We start from the raw sequence: 20097 nt of genomic DNA on the forward strand, positions 1-20097 counted from the left end.
AATTGACCACATAATTGGAAGTAAAGCACTCCTTAGCAAACGTAAAAGAACAGAAATCATAACAAACTGTCTCTCAGACCACAGTGCAATCAAATTAGAACTCAGGATTAAGAAACTCACTCAAAACTGCACAACTACATGGAAACTGAACAACTTGCTCCTGAATGACAACTGGGTACATAACGAAATGAAAGCAGAAATAAAGATGTTCTTTGAAACCAATGAGAACAAAGACACAACATACAAGAATCTCTGGGACACATTTAAAGCAGTGTGTAGAGGGAAATTTATAGCAATAAATGCCCACAAGAGAAAGCAGGAAAGATCTAAAATCGACACCCTAACGTCACAATTAAAAGAACTAGAGAAGCAAGAGCAAACACATTCAAAAGCTAGCAGAAGGCAAAAAATAACTAAGATTAGAGCAGAGCTGAAAGGGACAGACACAAAAAACCCTTCAAATAATCAATGAATCCAGGAGCTGGTTTTTTGAAAAGATCAACAAAACTGATAGACCACTAGCAAGATTAATAAAGAAGAGAGAAGAATCAAATAGATGCAATAAAAAATGATAAAGGGGATATCACAACTGATCCCACAGAAATACAAACTACCATCAGAGAATACGATAAACACCTCTATGCAAATAAACTAGAAAATCTAGAAATGGATAAATTCATGGACATATACACCCTGCTAAGACTAAACTAGGAAGACGTTGCACCTCTGAATAGACCAATAACAGGCTCTGAAATTGAGGCAATAATTAATAGCCTACCAACCAAAAAAAGTCCAGGACCAGATGGATTCACAGCCGAATTCTACCAGAAGTACAAAGAGGAGCTGGTACCATTCCTTCTAAAACTATTCCAATCAATAGAAAAAGAGGGAATCCTCCCTAACTCATTTTATGAGGCCAACATCATCCTGATACCAAAGCCTGGCAGAGACACAACAAAAAAAAGGGAATTTTAGACCAACGTCCCTGATGAATGTCGATGCAAAAATCCTCAATAAAATACTGGCAAACCAAATCCAGCAGCACATCAAAAAGCTTATCCACCATGATCAAGTTGGCTTCATCTCTGGGATGCAAAGCTGGTTTAACATACGCAAATCAATAAACGTAATCCGTCACATAAACAGAACCAACGACAAAAAACATGATTATCTCAAGAGATGAAGAAAAGGCCTTCAAGAAAATTCAACAGCCCTTCATTAAAAAAACTCAATAAACTAGATATTGATGGAATGTATCTCAAAATAATAAGAGCTATTTATGACAAGCCCACAGCCAATATCACACGGAATGGGCAAAAACTGGAAGCATTCCCTTTGAAAACTGGCACAAGACAAGGATGCCCTCTCTCACCACTCAATTCAACATAGTGTTGGGAGTTCTGGCCAGGGCAATCAGGCAGGAGAAAGAAGTGAAAGGCATTCAGTTAGGAAATGAGGAAGTCAAATTGTCCCTGTTTGTAGATGACATGATTGTATATTTAGAAAACCCCATCGTCTCAGCCCAAAATCTTAAGCTAATAAGCAACTTCAGCAAAGTCTCAGGATACAAAATCAATGTACAAAAATCACAAGCATTCCTATACACCATTAACAGACAAACAGAGAGCCAAATCATGAGTGAACTCCCATTCACAATTGCTACAAAGAGAATAAAATACCTAGGAATCCAACTTACAAGGGATGTGAAGGACCTCTTCAAGGAGAACTACAAACCACCGCTCAACAAAATAAAAGAGGACACAAACAAAGGGAAGAATATTCCATGCTCATGGACAGGAAGAATCAATATGTGAAAATGGCCATACTGCCCAAAGTAATTTACAGATTCAATGTCATCCTCATCAAGCTACAAATGACTTTCTTCACAGAATTGGAAAAAACTACTTTAAAGATCATATGGAACCAAAAAAGAGCCCCCATTGCTAAGACAATCCTAAGCAAAAAGAAAAAAACTGGGGCCATTATGCTACCTGACTTCAAACTATACTTCAAGGCTACAGTAACCAAAACAGCATGGTACTGGAACCAAAACAGAGATATAGACCAATGGAACAGAACAGAGTCCTCAGAAAGAACACCACACATCCACAACCATCTGATCTTTTGACAAACCTGACAAAAACAAGCAATGGGGAAAGGATTCCCTATTTAATAAATGGTGCTGGGAAAACTGGCTAGCCATATGGAGAAAGCTGAAACTGGATCCCTTCCTTACACCTTATACAAAAATTAATTCAAGATGGATTAAAAACTTAAATGTTAGACCTAAAACCATAAAAACCCTAGAAGAAAACCTAGGCAATACCATTCAGGATATAGGCATGGGCAAGGAATTCATGACTAAAACACCAAAAGCAATGACAACAAAAGCCAAAATAGACAAATGGGATCTAATTAAACTGAAGAGCTTCTGCATGGCAAAAGAAACTACCATCAGAGTGAACAGGCAACCTACAGGATGGGAGAAAATTTTTGCAATCTACCCATCTGACAAAGGGCTAATATCCGGAATCTACAACTAACTCAAATAAATTTACTAGAAAAAAACAAACAACCCCATCAAAAAGGGGGCAAAGGATATGAACAGACACTTCTCAAAAGAAGACATCTAGGCAGTCAACAGACACATGAAAAAATGCTCATCAGCACTGGTCATCAGAGCAATGCAAATCAAAACCACAATGAGATACCATCTCACACCAGTTAGAATGGCAATCATTAAAAAGTCAGGAAACAACAGATGCTGGAGAGGATGTGGAGAAATAGGAACACTTTTACACTGTTGGTGGGAGTGTAAATTAGTTCAACCATGTGGAAGACAGTGTGGCGATTCCTCAAGGATCTAGAACTAGAATTACCATTTGACCCAGCAATCCCATTACTGGATATATACCCAAAGGATTATAAATCATGCTACTATAAAGATACATGTAGACGTATGTTTACTGCAGCACTATTCACAATAGCAAAGACTTGGAACCAACCCAAATGTCCCTCAATGATAGACTGGATTAAGAAAATGTGGCCCATATACACCATGGAATACTATGCAGCCATAAAAAAGAATGAGTTCATGTCCTTTGCAGGGACATGGATGAAGCTGGAAACCATCATTCTCAGCAAACTATCACAAGGACAGAAAACCAAACACCACATGTTCTCACTAATAGGTGGGAATTGAACAAAGAGATCACTTGGACACAGGGGAACATCACGCACCGGGGCCTGTCAGGGGCTGCGGGGCTGGGGAGGGATAGCGTTATGAGAAATACCTAATGTAAATGACGAGTTGATGGGTGCAGCAAACCAACATGGCACATGTATACTTATGTATCAAACCTGCACGTTGTGCACATGTATCCTAGAACTTAAAGTGTAATAAAAAATTTAAAAAAAAAGAAAAAGAAAGAGAGAGACAACCAGTAGGCTGTTGTGACAAATTTATAGGTAAGTTCTATCAAGCCTTTAAGGAACAAAACTCTTAAAGAACTTCTTAAAGAACTTTTTTTTTTTTTTAGAGAGAGTCTCACCCTGTCCCCCCATGCTGGAGTACAGTGGTGCAATCTTGACTTACTGCAACCTCCACCTCCCGGGTTCAAATGATTTTCCTGCCTCAGTCTCCCAAGTAGCTGGGATTACAGATACGTGCCACCCACAGTGGGTTAATTCTTTTTTTTTTTGGTAGAGACGGGGTTTCACCATGTTGACCAGGCTGATCTTGAACTCCTGACCTCAAGGGATCCACCTGTCTTGGCCTCCCAAAGTACTGAGATTATAGGCATAAGCCACCATACCTAAAGAACAAAACTCTTATCTGATGCAAATTCTTTAACAAAATAGATACGAAAAGGCTCCTGGACACATTTATGAAGCTAAATGAAACATATCAAAAGCAGATAAAGATAATATGTGAAGAAAATAAGAGTTTAATTTCATTTGTGCACACAGCTGGAAAAGATCTTAAGCACTCCCAAGCAAAATCTCACAATGCATAGTATTAAAAAATTAAAAAGACTTAAGTAGGTTTTATTTCAGAAATGAAAGGTGATGATACAGAAATCTATTTCTGTATTTTACCATATTAACAGATTAAAGAAGGAAATTCATATGATCATTTCAACAGATACCAAAAAGGCAGCTGGAAACTATTCAATATTCACTCATGCATTAAATTGTTTCTGAAAACTAGAAGGGCCAGGTGTCGTGGCTCAAGCCCGTAATCACAGAACTTTGGGAGGCAGAGGCAGGAGGATCGCTTGAGCCCAGGAGTTCAAGACCAGCCTGGACAACTGGTGAAACCCTCTCTCTACAAAAAAAAAAACTGTTTTAAAATTAGCCAGGCTTGCTGGCCTGTGCCTGTAGTTCCAGCTACTGTGGGGAGGTTGGGTTGGGGTGGGGAGATGCTGAGGTAAGAGGATCACTTGAGCTTAAGTGTTTAAGACCAGCCTGGACAACAAAGTGAGACCCCATCTCTACAAAAAATGCAAAAATTAGCCGGGCTGCGTGGCACACGCCTGTAGTTTCAGCCACTTAGGAGGCACAGGCTGAGGTGGGAGAATAGCTTGAGCCTGGGAGGCAGAGGTTGCAATGAATCAACATCATGCCACTGCACTTCAGCCTGGGCAACAGAGCCAGACCCTATCTCAAAAAAGAAAAAATCAAACTAGAAAAGATGCTATGTATCGTCCCTTTCCCATTCCACCCTTCTCCACCCAAGAGGCTGACTTGAATCAACTGCATCAATGAGATCCCTTGCCCTCTTGCCCTTACAAGACACAAACAAGAGACTGGAGGGTATGAGAAGAGTTGAGATCAGTTATTTACTTTTCTAGCTCCCTCCTTAACAGGTCATGTCTTCTCATAAAAATTACCTTCCCTAGGCTCCAGGAACCATTCTCTCCACTTCAGGCCCAGGGATGGTATAACATTATAACATCTCTTGCAGGTTGCCATAAGCTCTAACCTTACCTTTGTAAATAGTCCCTTTATGAAACCAACAGAGCATACCATTTGTTTCTTGACAAAATGTTGCCTCACACAGAGGGTAATTTTAATTTCCTTAACCTGAGAAGAAGTATCTACCATAAACACAGAAGAAGAATCTAAGAACTGAAATAGAATAGAAAATACTAGACTGCATCACATACAGTAAAGATACGCACTGCTTTCCATGAAGCTTTTGTTTCCGTTACATACACACAGTGACTATGCTGTCAAATATGTGTCTTACTGTGAGTCACCACCAGAAAACTCTGAAAAACACTTTGAAGACAACAAAACAAATCTTACCTCACTTACCATATTATAGAATTCCAGCTCTCTTGGGCCCCTTGGAGGTGGTTGTAACTGTTTCAAAACTGTGCCATCTGGATGTTGCAGTATACCTATGGAACAAAAATCAGAAATTGTTTAATGCTTTAATAATAGTAAACCTTGCTTCATTAAATAGATTAGTTCCTGAAGTGACAGGTAAACTACTTCCATTAAACTTAAGGGTTTACTTTTACTTATTTCAGAAATTTTAACATTCAACCAACATGTTTCAGTACTTATTACAGCAAAGCACCAGAACACAAATTCCAAATGTCTTCATTTTAGTGTCTCCAACCACTACCTCTTTTGGCACCCTCGGGCTTTATAATACATAAAACATATGTGTCAATTTATATAGAAAGTCCTCAGTAATAGGCTTTCTGTAAGATGTTAACTTATAGTTATAAGAAGCAAGTTAAAAGCAATAGCACGAATTGACCCCACTTTTAAAACCAGAAAAGAACATATGTGTTAACAGTGGCCATATATGAATTTCCTACTTGGTAATTTTTTATAAGTCTCTCTTGTCTAAAAGCAACTAAAATATTTGCTGATTCAAATGCACTGTATACAACTGTATAGATAGTACCAGGGCATCTAGCCAATGGGTAAAGTTAGGGCTGAAATCAGGCAACAAGCCTAGAGCAGGAAAGGGCACCTTTTTATAATCTGTCCATTCAAAGAGGGAGACTTTTTATGAAGTCATCATATATATACCAACACTGGTCCTACCCCTATGCCATGAAGACTCATTCCAAATTTATACGTCAAAATCTTAAATTTTGATGTGTTGGGATTTTATAAAATCATGCTAGCTAGAATATGGCTCAAATAAACATATTTAGAATTTCAATTAAATATGCCACTTGAGTTTCCTTTTCTTTTTGGCAAGTGTTAGGAATTTTTTTCTTTCTATCAGATAGGTAATGTGCTAACACTGTAACAAGACTGGAGTGAGGCATATCTCACACATGAGCATGAAAATTCAATCATTGTGCTTATGAACTACAAAAGGATCTAGAATTTTTAATAATGGCAAAAATGCAGAATTCAGCCAACAGAAGCAGAAAGTCTCAAGAGATACAGAAATCAAGTTTGTTTTTTGTTTTTTTTTAATCTTAAGACTTAGATATAGGCCAGGCATGCTGGCTCACACCTGTAATTCCAGCACTTTGGTAGTCTGTGGCTGGAAGAGTTTGAGATGAGTCTGGGTAACATAGCAGACCCTGTTTCTACAAAACATTTAAAAAAGAAAATTAGCTGGGCATGGTGGCATGTGTCTATAGTCCCAGCTACTCAGGAGAATGAGGTGGGAAGATGGCTTGAGCCCAGGAGTTTGAGGCTGCAATTAGCTATGATCAGGCCACTGCACTTCAACCTGGGCGACAGAGCGAGAGCCCCTCTCTAAAAATATTTGTTCAAAATTTTAAAAAGGCCTAGATATAGAATAGAAGGTAGGTAAATATTAATCTTTCTGTATAAGACTGGTTGGTAAACAGTCAAAAGACTTCAAAGAGTAGTCCAATATAACTAAAAATTTCTGAAGAAGAATTCTGTTCCTGAAGGTTCAGATGGAGCACAAGAAAGGCCTTTATTCCCATGGTTATAACATTTTCTGTGGGGCTTAAAATGAGTAAAGAAGCTTTGATGAATAGAATTCCAGAGGAAAATAAAAATTGAACTTTCATAAGTAAGCAGAGAACCATGACAGCTTCCCTGCCTTGGGGCAAACACCTTGGTCTAGATACAGGTGATCTTCCCATTAGACAAATACATTTTATCAGGCAAGCAGTAATCAGCCAAGCGGTAGACAACAGCATGGGATAGCAGGATGGATTAGAGACTGTAATAATCCCAACACAAAAAGAGATTGCTTCGTCCAATATGTCTCCCATATTACTCACCCTGCAACATAACCCCTCACGTTTGAGAAGACAGAAGGTGGTAATCTCGGCATTCTCTAGGTGAGTGAATTCCAGGATCCAAATAAACCAACAGTAAACCAACAGTATCTGAGCCTGCAACCAAATCCCCACCCCCAGCTCAAAAACTGTCAAGATAAAAAAGGAGGCACCTTGGAATGCTGAGCCAATAACAGATACACTGAAACTGAGACTGCAGCCTAGCACTAGCTCAACTAAACTCAGTCCCTTACCCTAAACACAGGAAAGGGCATGTACTGCACGGGGGATCAAAACAAAACAAAAAATAGTACACATCACTTCCCACGGTTCTTTAAATAAAATGCCCTAGATTCAAGAAAAAATTATGACACATACTCAAAATATCAGGAAAACATAAAGCACAATCAAGAGAAAACATAATAGGAGATGACACACAGATGACCAAGTCATTGTAATTAGCAAGCAAGCATGTTAAAACAAAAAGTATAAATATGCTAAAGAAACAATAGAAAAAGATGAATGCAAATGCTAAACAGATTAGGTATTTCAGGAGATAAACTACAAAAAAAAACTCTAAAACTGAAAAGGCACAGTATCTGAAATAAAAAATTTAATTAATGGGATTTAATCAACAGATAAACAATCACAGAGGAACAGAGCAATGAACATTCACAAAGACCAATACAAAATATCTAAATTAAAGAAAATACAGAAAAGTATCTAAAAAGAAAAAAAAAATGTATAGAGCATTAGAAACCCATAAGGTAATACCAAGAGTTTTTAACAAATGTGTAGTTGGGGTCCCATAAAGAGAAAAGAGAATGGGCCAGAGAAAAAATTCTGGGCTTTCAAGTTTCCACCTAGGATATAGAAAGCTGGAAGAAGCATTGCTCCCACCTAAAAGCAAGAAAAAGCTAGATAATCTACAAAATCATAACTTTTCACGAAACCATCAAAGTGTTGAGATAATAACCAACAGACTTGAAATCTAAAGGAAGACATACACCACGAAAAAAAAAAAAAAAAGACAAATGAGAGCACTGACTCACCCATGGAGCGGAATGGGAAGGTGGGGTTACCTTACAAGGGGGTTAGAATAATAAAGCTAAAATTTTTAACAAATAGCTAATGGCAAAGTGTAGATTCCAGTGAGGGTATAGAACTCCCAGAAGTTGCAAACACTTGCAGCATTTTCTTCCAGGCCGTCAAGAAAAAGACTGGAGAGAGGCAGAAAGCCAGAAAAAGTGACCATCAGAGGTACAGGCATTAAGGAAGTGAAGCACCACTACTAAAAAAGACCCTTTTCCCCTCTGGATCAAAAGTCTTAAGTTGTTGAGGTAAGAGCAGCAAATCATGTTGTCCCCAAGAAACAAGTGACAAGCCATTGTGGATGGCAGAAGAATAAAGAAAAATATTCTCCAACACTGGGAGGGTGAAGGAAGACAGGAAATCATATGCAGTCCTAACTTTAGAGGTCTCCTACTGCTGGGGGTGGGAAGGAAACTCATACAAACGACTTGCTGAAGGCAGAAGGCAGTCTGACTTCTACAGGAAAGAGGGGCAGGATACCTGAACAAGTCCCATTCCCCAAAACTTAGGATCACAGAGCCTACCTAACATTGAATCTGGGCCAAGACAATAGAGGATACCTCTGCAGCCTAGCACCAGGGTAGCTATCACCAAGTAAAAAATAATAGTAATCTACATTTGCGGGAGGGGCACGAACATAGAGAAAACCACCTCTGAGGCCTAGGTGCACAAAGAAGACCTAAAGTAGACAGTTAAACAGAAATACTGAGAAAAATCCTCTGGCAAATCAGACCCACCCTAAACAAAAGACGACACTAGCAGAATTTCAAATCTGTGGTGCACTGACAGTATTTTAGTCAGCCAGGGTTTGCATAACAAAATGCCATAGACTGAGCAGCTTAAACCACAGAAATTTATTTTTCCATATTTCTGAAGGCTAGAAGTCCCAGACCAAGGTGCTGGGAGATTTGGTTCCTAGTATGGACTCTCTTAGCTTGTAGAAGGTCACCTTCTCACTGTGTTCTCACATGGCAGACAGCTAACTCTCTAGTGCCTTTTCTTATAATGATACATTCTGTTGGTTCAAGACTTAACCCTTATGACCTCATTTAACCTTAATTACCTCCATAAAGGTGCAATCTCCAAATATGATTACATTTACAGGGGAGGGGGGCTTCAACATATGAATTTTAAAGGACACAAACACTCAGTCCATAACAGAAACCAACTATAACAACAATACTTACATTTATCTCAACTCCTCATTAGATTGGTTCAAATCACCAACATTACCAGTCAAGCAGAAGAGGTATAATCATTTCAGTAACAAATACTGTTGGCTTCAGTTTGCTACAGTCCTACACATGATGCCCACCAGAATTTAATAAAAATTACAACAGATAAAAAAGCAAGGAAAATAATACCGTCAACAAATACAGCAAAATACAGACCAGTATCAGAAATGACAGTGATGTTAAAATAATCAGACAGGGGAACTTAACCATAATTAATATGTTAAAGCTGTAATAGAAAAAGTACACAACATGGATGAAAAGACATCACGAGGTAAGGAGATCGAGACCATCTTGGCTAACATGGTGAAACCCCATCTCTACTAAAAATACATAAAAAAATTAGCCAGGCGTTGTGGCGGACGCCTGTAGTCTCAGCTACTCGGGAGGCTGAGGCAGGAGAATGGCGTGAACCCAGGCGGTAGGGGTTGCAGCGAGTCGCGATTGTGCCACTGCACTCCAGCCTGGGCGACAGAGCGAGACTCCGTCTCAAAAAAAAAAAAAAAAGAAAAGAAAACAAAAGACAAGTGTGTCCATCAGAGAGAAACTTTAAGAACTTAGTGGAAATAGTAGAAATAAAATACATGGTATAACAGAGATGAAGAAAGCTTTCTACAGGCTCATCACTATACTCAAATCAACCAAGGAGAGAATCAGTAAATTTGGTGTCAGATAAATAGAAATTATACAAATTGAAACACAAAGGGAGAAAAAATAAAAAGGAAGGAGAAATCAGAAGAAAGCATCCCAGATCTATAGAATAATATCAAACAGTCTATGATAACTATCTGATATGGTTTGGTTCTGTATGCCCACCCAAATCTCATGTTGAATTGTAATCCCCTGTGTTGGGGGAGGGACTTGGTGGGAGGTGACTGGATCATGGGGACAGATATCCCCCTTGCTGTTCTCATGATGGTGAGTTCTCATAAGATCTGGTAGTTTGAAAGTGTGTAGCACTTCCCCCTTCTCTCTCTCTCTCCCTCCTACTCTGCCGTGTAAAGAAGGTGCTTGCCTTCCACCATGATTGAAAATTTCCTGAGGCCTCCCCACCCATGCCTCCTCTACAGTCTGTGGGACTGAGTCAATTAAACCTCTTTTCTTCATAAATTACGTCTCAGGTAGTTCTTTATAGCAGTGTGAAAATGAACTAATACACTATCCTAGGAAAAAAATCAGAGAAAGGCACACCCATGTTGATTATAACATTATTTACAATAGCTGAGAAGTGGAAGCAACTTCTATGTCCATTGACAAATGAAAGGGTAAAAAAAAAGGGGTATAGGCATACAATAGAATGTCATTCATTATTTTGTATGTATACATGCATATGCATTGCATGGATGGATATACATTGTATATGTATACAATAGAATGTCACTGCCTTTAAAAAAAGGAAAATCCCTCTCCCTCTCCCTCTTTCTACGGTCTCCCTCTCTTGCGGAGCCTGGACCGTACTGCCATGATATCAGCTTGCTGCAACCTCGCTGCCTCGGGCTCGGGTGATTCTCCTGCCTCGGCCTGCCGAGTGCCTGTGATTCCAGGCACGTGCCGCCACTCCTGACTGGTTTATATATTTTTGGTGAAAACGAGGTTTCCCCGTGTTGACTGGGCTGGTCTCCAGCTCCTGGCCTCGGGTGATTAGCCCGCCTCGGCCTCCCGAGGTGCTGGGATTGCAGACGGAGTCTCGCTCACTCAATGCTCAATGTTGCCCAGGCTGGAGTGCAGTGGCGTGATCTCGGCTCGCTACAACCTCCACCTCCCAGCCGCGTGCCTTGGCCTCCCAAAGTGCTAAGATTACAGCCTCTGCCCACCCGCCACCCCATCTAGGAAGTGAGCAGCATCTCTGCCTGGCCGCCCATCGTCTGGGATGTGAGGAGACCCTCTGCCCGGCCGCCCCATCTGGGAAGTGAGGAGCGCCTCTGCCCGGCCACCACCCCGTCTAGGAAGTGAGGAGCGTCTCTGCCCGACCGCCCATCGTCTGGGATGTGAGGAGTGCCTCTGCCTGGCGCGCCGCCCCGTCTGGGAGGGGAAGGGCGTCTCTGCCCGGCTGCCCCGCCTGGGAAGTGAGGGGCACCTCTGCCCGGCCGCTCTTCGTCTGGGAGGTGGGGAACGTCTCTGCCCGGCCGCCCCGTCTGGGAAGTGGGCGCCTCTGCCTGGCCACCCTGTCTGGGAGGTGAGGGGCGTCTCTGCCCGGCCGCCCCGTCTGGGAGGTGAGGAGCGCCTCTGCCCGGCCGCCCCACCTGGGAGGTGAGGAGCGCCTATGCCCGGCTGCCCTTGGTCTGGGAGGTGGGGAGCGCGTCTGCCCAGCCGCCCCGTCGGGGAAGTGGGCGCCTCTGCCCAGGCCGCCCCGTCTGGGAAGTGAGGAGCGCCTCTGCCCGGCCGCCCCCTCTGGGAAGTGGGGGGTGCCTCTGCCCGGCCGCTCCTCGTCTGGGAGGTGGGGAGCGCCTCCGCCCAGCCACCCCGTCTGGGAGGTGAGGAGCACCTCTGCCCGGCCGCCGCCCCGTCTGGGAAGTGAGGAGCGCCTCTGCCAGGCCGTCCCGTCTGGGAAGTGTACCCAACAGCTCCGAAGAGACAGCGACCATCAAGAACAGGCCATGATGACGATGGTGGTTTTGTCGAAAAAAAAGAAAAGGGGGAAATGTGGGGAAAAGAAAGAGAGATCAGATTGTTACTGTGTCTGTGTAGAAAGAAGTAGACATAGGAGACTCCATTTTGTTCTGTACTAAGAAAAATTCTTCTGCCTTGGGATGCTGTTAATCTATAACCTTACCCCCAACCCCCTGCTCTCTGAAACATGTGCTGTGTCAACTCAGGGTTAAATGGATTAAGGGCGGTGCACGATGTGCTTGGTTAAACAGATGCTTGAAGACAGCATGCTCATTAAGAGTCATCACCACTCCCTAATCTCAAGTACCCAGGGACACAAACAGGGCCAAAGGCCGCAGGGACCTCTGCCTAGGAAAACCAGAGACCTTTGTTCTCATGTTTATCTGCTGACCTTCTCTCCACTATTATCCTATGACCCTGCCACATCCCCCTCTCTGAGAAACACCCAAGAATGATCAATAAATACTAAAAAAAAAAAAATAATAAAATAAACAAATTAAAATAAAAAAATTAAAAAATACAAAAAGGAAAATTATGTCTTATGCTAAAGCATGGATAAAACTTAAAGACATTATGCTAAGTGAAATAAGCCAGTGTAACAAAAAGATAAATACTACATGATTACACTTATAGGAGATATTTAAAGCAGTTAAATTCTTAGAAAACAGAAAATAGAATGATAGCTGCCAGGGGCCAGGAGAAGGGAGAAAAGAGTTGTTCAGTGGACATGAGTTTTAAAAGATGAAAAAGTAGGCTAGAAAATAATGGCTCATGCCTATAATCCCAGTACTCTGGGAGGCCAAGACAGCCGGATCACGAGGTCAGGAGTTCAAAACCATCCTGGCCATCATAGTGGAACCCCGTCTCTACTGAAAGCACAAAAATTAGCCAGGGGTGGTACCACATGCCTGTAATCCCAACTACTCGGGAGGCTGGGGTAGGACAATCGCTTGAACACAGGAGGCGGATGCTACAGTGAGCTGAGGTCATGCCACTGCACTCCAGCCTGGGTGACAGAGGAAGACTCTGTCTCAAAAAAAAAAAAAAGATGAAAAAGTCCCAGAGAGACGTATCTCAAAATAATAAGAGTTATCTATGACAAACCCACAGCCAATATCATACTGAATGGGCAAAAACTGGAAGCATTCCCTTTGAAAACTGGCACAAGACAGGGATGCCCTCTCTCACCACTCCTATTCAACATAGTGTTGAAAGTTCTGGCCAGGGCAATGAGGCAGGAGAAGGAAATAAAGGGTATTCAGTTAGGAAAAGAGGAAGTCAAATTGTCCCTGTTTGCAGACGACATGATTGTATATTTAGAAAACCCCACTGTCTCAGCCCAAATCTCCGTAAGCTGATAAGCAACTTCAGCAAAGTCTCAGGATACAAAATCAACGTACAAAAATCACAAGCATTCTTATACACCAACAACAGACAAACAGAGAGCCAAATCATGAGTGAACTCCCATTCACAATTGCTTCAAAGAGAATAAAATACCTAGGAATCCAACTTACAAGGGATGTGAAGGACCTCTTCAAGGAGAACTACAAACCACTGCTCAAGGAAATAAAAGAGGATACAAACAAATGGAAGAACACTGCATGCTCATGGGTAGGAAGAATCAATATCGTGAAAATGGCCATACTGCCCAAGGTAATTTACAGATTCAATGCCATCCTCATCAAGCTACCAATGACTTTCTTCACAGAATTGGAAAAAGCTACTTTAAAGTTCATATGGAACCAAAAAAGAGTCCGCATCGCCAAGTCAATCCTAAGCCAAAAGAACAAAGCTAGAGGCATCACACTACCTGACTTCAAACTATACTACAAGGCTACAGTAACCAAAACAGCATGGTACTGGTACCAAAACACAGATATAGATCAATGGAACAGAAAAGAGCCCTCAGAAATAACGCCGCATATCTACAACTATCCGATCTTTGACAAACCTGATAAAAACAAGCAATGGGGAAAGGATTCCCTATTGAATAAATGGTGCTGGGAAAACTGGCTAGCCATATGTAGAAAGCTGAAACTGGATCCCTTCTTTACACCTTATACAAAAATCAATTCAAGATGGATTAAAGACTTAAACGCTAGACCTAAAACCATAAAAACCCTAGAAGAAAACCTAGGCATTACCATTCAGGACACAGGCATGGGCAAGGACTTCATGTCTAAAACACTAAAAGCAATGGCAACAAAAGCCAAAATTGACAAATGGGATCTAATTAAAATAAAGAGCTTCTGCACAGCAAAAGACACTACCATCAGAGTGAACAAGCAACCTACAAAATGGGAGAAAATTTTCGCAACCTACTCATCTGACAAAGGGCTAATATCCAGAATCCACAATGAACTCAAACAAATTTACAAGAAAAAAACAAACAACCCCATCAAAAAGTAGGCAAAGGACATGAACAGACACTTCTCAAAAGAAGACATTTATGCAGCCAAAAGACACATGAAAAAATGCTCACCATCACTGGCCATCAGAGAAATGCAAATCAAAACCACAATGAGAGACCATTTCACACCAGTTAGAATGGCAATCATTAAAAAGTCAGGAAACAACAGGTACTGGAGAGGATGTGGAGAAATAGGAACACTTTTACACTGTTGCTGGGACTGTAAACTAGTTCAACCATTGTGGAAGTCAGTGTGGCGATTCCTCAGGGATCTAGAACTAGAAATACCATTTGACCCAGCCATCCCATTACTGGGTATATACCCAAAGGATTATAAATCATGCTGCTATAAAGACACATGCACACGTATGTTTATCGCGGCATTATTCACAATAGCAAAGACTTGGAACCAACCCAAATGTCCAACAATGATAGACTGGATTAAGAAAATGTGGCACATATACACCATGGAATACTATGCAGCCATAAAAAATGATGAGTTCATGTCCTTTGTAGGGACATGGATGAAATTGGAAATCATCATTCTCAGTAAACTATCACAAGAACAAAAAACCAAACACCACATATTCTTACTCATAGGTGGGAACTGAACAATGAGAACACATGGACACAGGAAGGGGAACATCACACTCTGGGGACTGTTGTGGGGTGGGAGGAGGGGTGAGGGATAGCATTGGGAGATATACCTAATGCTAGATGGCGAGTTAGTGAGTGCAGCACAACAGCATGGCACATGTATACATATGTAACTAACCTGCACATTGTGCACATGTACCCTAAAACTTAAAGTATAACAATAAATAAATAAATAAAAAAGAATTAGAAATGCAAGGCTTTTGATATACATAGAATAAACTCTCACATTAAAAGGAGTAATGGGATGAATTAAAATTTGGAAGTAAAGCCCTCTAATTAGCTAGTGGATATCCACAGCTTGCTCCACAGCTACAGACTTTTTCCTTTATGTATGTGTTGCCCCTTTTTTCTCTTTACTAAATGAACACCTATATTAAAAACAAAGTCATCCTTCTATGATTATGCAAGTTGCACATGCTCCTTGTGAAAAATCGGGGAAAAGTGCAAAGAATAAAAAACATAAAGGGCTACAACCCACCACCTACTGATAAACACTGTTTATACTTCACTTCAGTCTATTTTATGTGATAATAAAGTATATTATTATACTTTAAAACTTAAAGTATAATAATAATGAATTTAAAAAAAAAAGTCCCAGAGATCTGTTGCACATCAATGTGCATGTAATTAAGAATACTGTACATTTAAAAATGGCCAAGATGGCAAACTGTGTTTTTTAACAAAATTAAAAATGTTGTATATTCAGCAGGATTACAAATATTAAAAATAAATGCACGCTAAAATTTCTATCTGCAGAAGGCATTTTCTAAATTTTTTTGATACATAACTGTACATATTTATGTGTGTGCACATATATTTATTTTGATATGTGCTTACAATGTGTAATGATCAAATAAGGGCAATCAGTGTATCCATCACCTCAAACACATAATTCATTTGTGTTGGGAACATATCAAATATTCTCTTCTAGCTATTTTGAAATATACATTTTTGTGAACTATAATCACCCTATCGTGCTATTAAACACTAGAACTTATTCCTTCTAAGTGTATTTTTGCACCCGTTAAACAACCTCTCTTCATTCCTCCCAACAACCTTTCCCAGCTTCTGGCAACCATGATCCTACTCTCTACCACCATGAGATCAATGTTTTTAGCTCCCTCATCTGAATGAGGTCATGTGTTATTCGTCTTTCCATGCCTGGTTTATTTCACTTCATATAATGAGCTCCAATTCCATCCATGTTGCTGCAAATGACAGGATTTCATTCTTTTCTATGGCTGAAAAATATTCCATTATGAACCACATTTTCTTTATCTATTCATCTGTTGTGGACACGTAGGTTGATTCTATATCTTGGCTATTGTGAATATAGCTACAATAAACAGGTGAGTACAGATATCTCTTCAACATACTGATTTCTTTTGGATATATATTCAGAAGCAGGAATGCTGGATCATATGGTAGATTTATTTTTAGTTTTTTGAGGAACTTCCATACTATTTCCCAAAGTGGCTATACTAATTTACATACCTAACAACTGTGTAGTAGTGTTCTCTTTCTCCACATCCTTGGCAGCATCTGCTATCCTTTCACTGTTTTAAAAAGATGTATATGTTGTTGTTGTTTTTGAGATAGGGTCTCTCTCTGTAACACAGGCTGGACTGCAGCGGCACAATCATAGCTCACTGCAGCCTCCATCCTCAGGGCTCAAGCAATCCTCCCACCCCAGCCTCCCAGGGCTGGGATTATAAGCATAAGCCACCATGCTCAGTTTGACGTTTTAATAATAGCCATTTTAACTAGCATGAGATAATATCTCATTGTTTTTTATACTTGCTTTTCTCTTATGATTAGTGATGTTGAGCACTTTTTCATACCCCAACTGGTCATTTGTATGTCCACTTTTGAGAGATATCTATTCAGATTCTTTGCCCAGTTTTAATTGGATTATTTTTGCTGTTGAGTTGGTTCTTTATACATTCTGCTTATTAATCTGTTCTCACAAGGATAGTCTACAGATATTTTCTCCCATTCTATAGGCTGTCACTCTGTTGATTGTTTCCTTTGTAGTGCATAAGCTTTTTGGCTTGATGTAACCCCATTTGTATGTCTGCTTTTGTTGCCTGTCCTTCTGAGGTCTTGCCCAGAAAATCTTTGCCCAGACCATTGTCCCAAAGCATTTCTTCAGTATTTTATTCTAGTAGTTTTATGTTTTACATCCAATCCAATCAAATACATATTGGTTTTTTATATATGGTAAGGGATACAGATCTAGTTTCATTTTTCTGCTTATGGATATCCAGTTTTCCCACCCCACTTATTGAAGACACCATCCCTTCCCCAATGTATGTGGCTTAGCACCTTTGCCAAAAATCAGTTGGCTGGAAACCAGTGAATTTATTTCCAGTTCACTATTACGTTCCATTAGACTATGTGTCTGTTTTTATGTCAGTGCCATGGTGTTTTGGATATTACAGCTATGTGGTAAATTTTGAAGCCAGGTAGTATGATGCCTCCAGCTTTATTCTTTTTGCTCAGCATTTCTTTGGGTATTTGAGGTCTTTTGTGGTTCCATACAAATTTAGGACTTTTTTCTATTTCTCTGATGAATGTCTTTGGTGATTTGATAGGGATTACATTGACTCTGTAGACTGCTTTGGGTAGTACGAACATTTTAATATTAATTCTTCCAATCCATGAACATATCTTTTCATATTGTGTGTCTTCTTCAATTCTTTCAGCAGTGTTTTATAGTTTTTATTGTAAAGATATTTCACTTTTTTGGTTAAATTTTTTCCTAGGGTTTTTGTTGTTGTTGTTGTTGTTAACTATTGTAAATGAGATTGCTTTTTTAGTTTCTTTTTCAGATTGTTCACTGCTGATGTATAGAAATGCAGATTTTTGTATGTTGACTTTGTATCTTGCAGCCTTGCTGAATTCTTTCATCAGCTCTAACAGTATTTTGGTGGAGTCTTTAGATTTTTCTAAATATAAAATCATGTTGTCTGCAAACAAGTGTAATTTGACTTCTTCCTTTCTTATTTCCTTCTCTAGACTAATTGCTCTGACTAGGACTTCCACTCCTAGGAGTAGGACTTCCACTCAAATAGGAGTAGTGAAAATGAGCATCCTTGTCTTCTTCTAAGATTTCAGAAGAAGGGCTTCACTTTTTCCCAATTCAGTATTATATTAGCTGTGAGTTTTCACAAATGGCCTTTATTGTTCTGAAGTATGTTCCTTCTATACACAGTTTGGTGAGAATTTTTATCAGGAAGTGATGTTGAATTTTATCAAATGTTTTTCAGCATCTATTGAAATAATTATACAGTCTCTGTTCTTTATTCTGTGAATGTGATGTATCATGTTTCTTGATTTGCCATAGTATGTCAAACCATCCTTAGAGACTTTTCATCTATTTAACTTCTGCTAATTTTGGTTTTGGTTTGTTCTTGCTCTTCTAACTCATTGAGATGCATCATTAGGTTATTTGAAGTCTTTCTACATTCTGACATCAGTGTTTATTGCTAAAAACTTCCCTCAAAGAACTGCTTTTCTTGCATCCCATGTGTTGGTATGCTGTTTCCATTGTCATTTGTCTGAAGGAATTTTATAATTTATTTTAATTTCTTAATTGACTCCATTCATTGTTCAGGAGCATGTTGTTTAATTTCCATAAATTTGTACCATTTCCATCATTCCTTCTATATCGTTTCTGGGTTTATTCTGTGTGGTCAGAAAGGATAGTTGATATTATTTTTAAAAATTTGTTAAGACTTGCTTTGGGACCTAACATATGATTTATCCTGGAGAATGCCCCATGTGCTGTTGAAAAAAATGTGTATTCTGCAACTGTTTACTGCAATATTCTGTAAATGTCTGTTGGGTCCATTTGGCTTACAGTCCAATTTAACTCTGGAGACTGTGGATTTTCCTATCTGGATCATGTGTCTATTGCCAAAAGTGGGGTGTTGAAGTCTCCTACTATTATTCTATTAAAGTCAATTTCTCCCTTTAGGTCCACTAATATGTTTTATATACTTGGGTCCTCCAGTGTTGAGTACATACACATTTACAATTGTTATATCCTCTTGCGGTACTACTGACTCCTTCACCATTATGTAACAAATGGCCTCCTTTGTCCTCTGTAACACTGTTGACAGTTTATTTTATCTGATACAACCATAGCTACTCCAGCTCTCTTTTGGTTTGCATTTGCATGGAATATCTTTCTATCCCTTTACTTTCAATCTGTGCATGTCTTTAAAGGTAAAGTGAGTTTCTTGCAGACAGCATATAGTTGGGTCTTGTTTTATTATCCAGTCAGCAACTCTATGTCTTTTAACTGGGGAATGTAATACATTTACACTCAAGGTATGATAGGTAAGGGTTTACTACTGCCATTTTGTTAGTTGTTTTGTGGTTGTTTTGTAGATCTTTTCTTCCTTTTTTCCACTTACTGTCTTCCTTTGTAGTTAAGGATTTTTTTCTAGCAGTATGTTTTGATTCTATGCCATTTATTTTTAGTGTCTCTCTTACAGTTTTTGGTTTGTGGTTACCACGAGGCTTATAAAAAACATCTTGTAGTTACAACAGGTTATTTTAAACTGATAACAACTCAATGTGGACTGTCAAGTATCAAAAACAAACTCTATACTTTAACACCATATCACCCCCGGTACTTTGACTGTTTCAATTTATACCTTTTTATATTGCCTCTTAACCAATTGTTGGAGTTATTAAGAGTTTTGTCTTTTAGTCTTCATCTTTAAGATATAAGTGGTTTTACTTACCATAATTACAGTATTAGAGTATTCTGAATTTGACTGTTTTTTTTTTTTTTTTTAAGGTTTACTTTTAGGTTCAGCGGTCCATGTGCATGTTTGTTCTGTAGGTAAA

The 20097-nt window shown here is 39.6% G+C and overlaps 1 protein-coding gene and 1 non-coding gene across 2 annotated transcripts in view; both read right to left on the reverse strand.

Moving 5' to 3' along the window:
• The window catches only part of IPMK (inositol polyphosphate multikinase), a 76378-nt gene that overhangs the window by 40893 nt on the left and 15388 nt on the right, over positions 1–20097 (reverse strand). The window contains exon 2 of the mRNA NM_152230.5: positions 5320–5405. Within this exon, the coding sequence (NP_689416.1) occupies positions 5320–5405 (86 nt within the window). The remainder of the gene's footprint in view (positions 1–5319; positions 5406–20097) is intronic.
• LOC124902578 (small nucleolar RNA U13) lies at positions 6248–6351 on the reverse strand. Its single transcript, XR_007062411.1, has one exon. It is a non-coding gene; the product is annotated as a small nucleolar RNA U13 (small nucleolar RNA).

The sequence above is a fragment of the Homo sapiens genome, chromosome 10, assembly GCF_000001405.40.
Source record: "Homo sapiens chromosome 10, GRCh38.p14 Primary Assembly".
Lineage (NCBI taxonomy): Eukaryota > Metazoa > Chordata > Mammalia > Primates > Hominidae > Homo > Homo sapiens.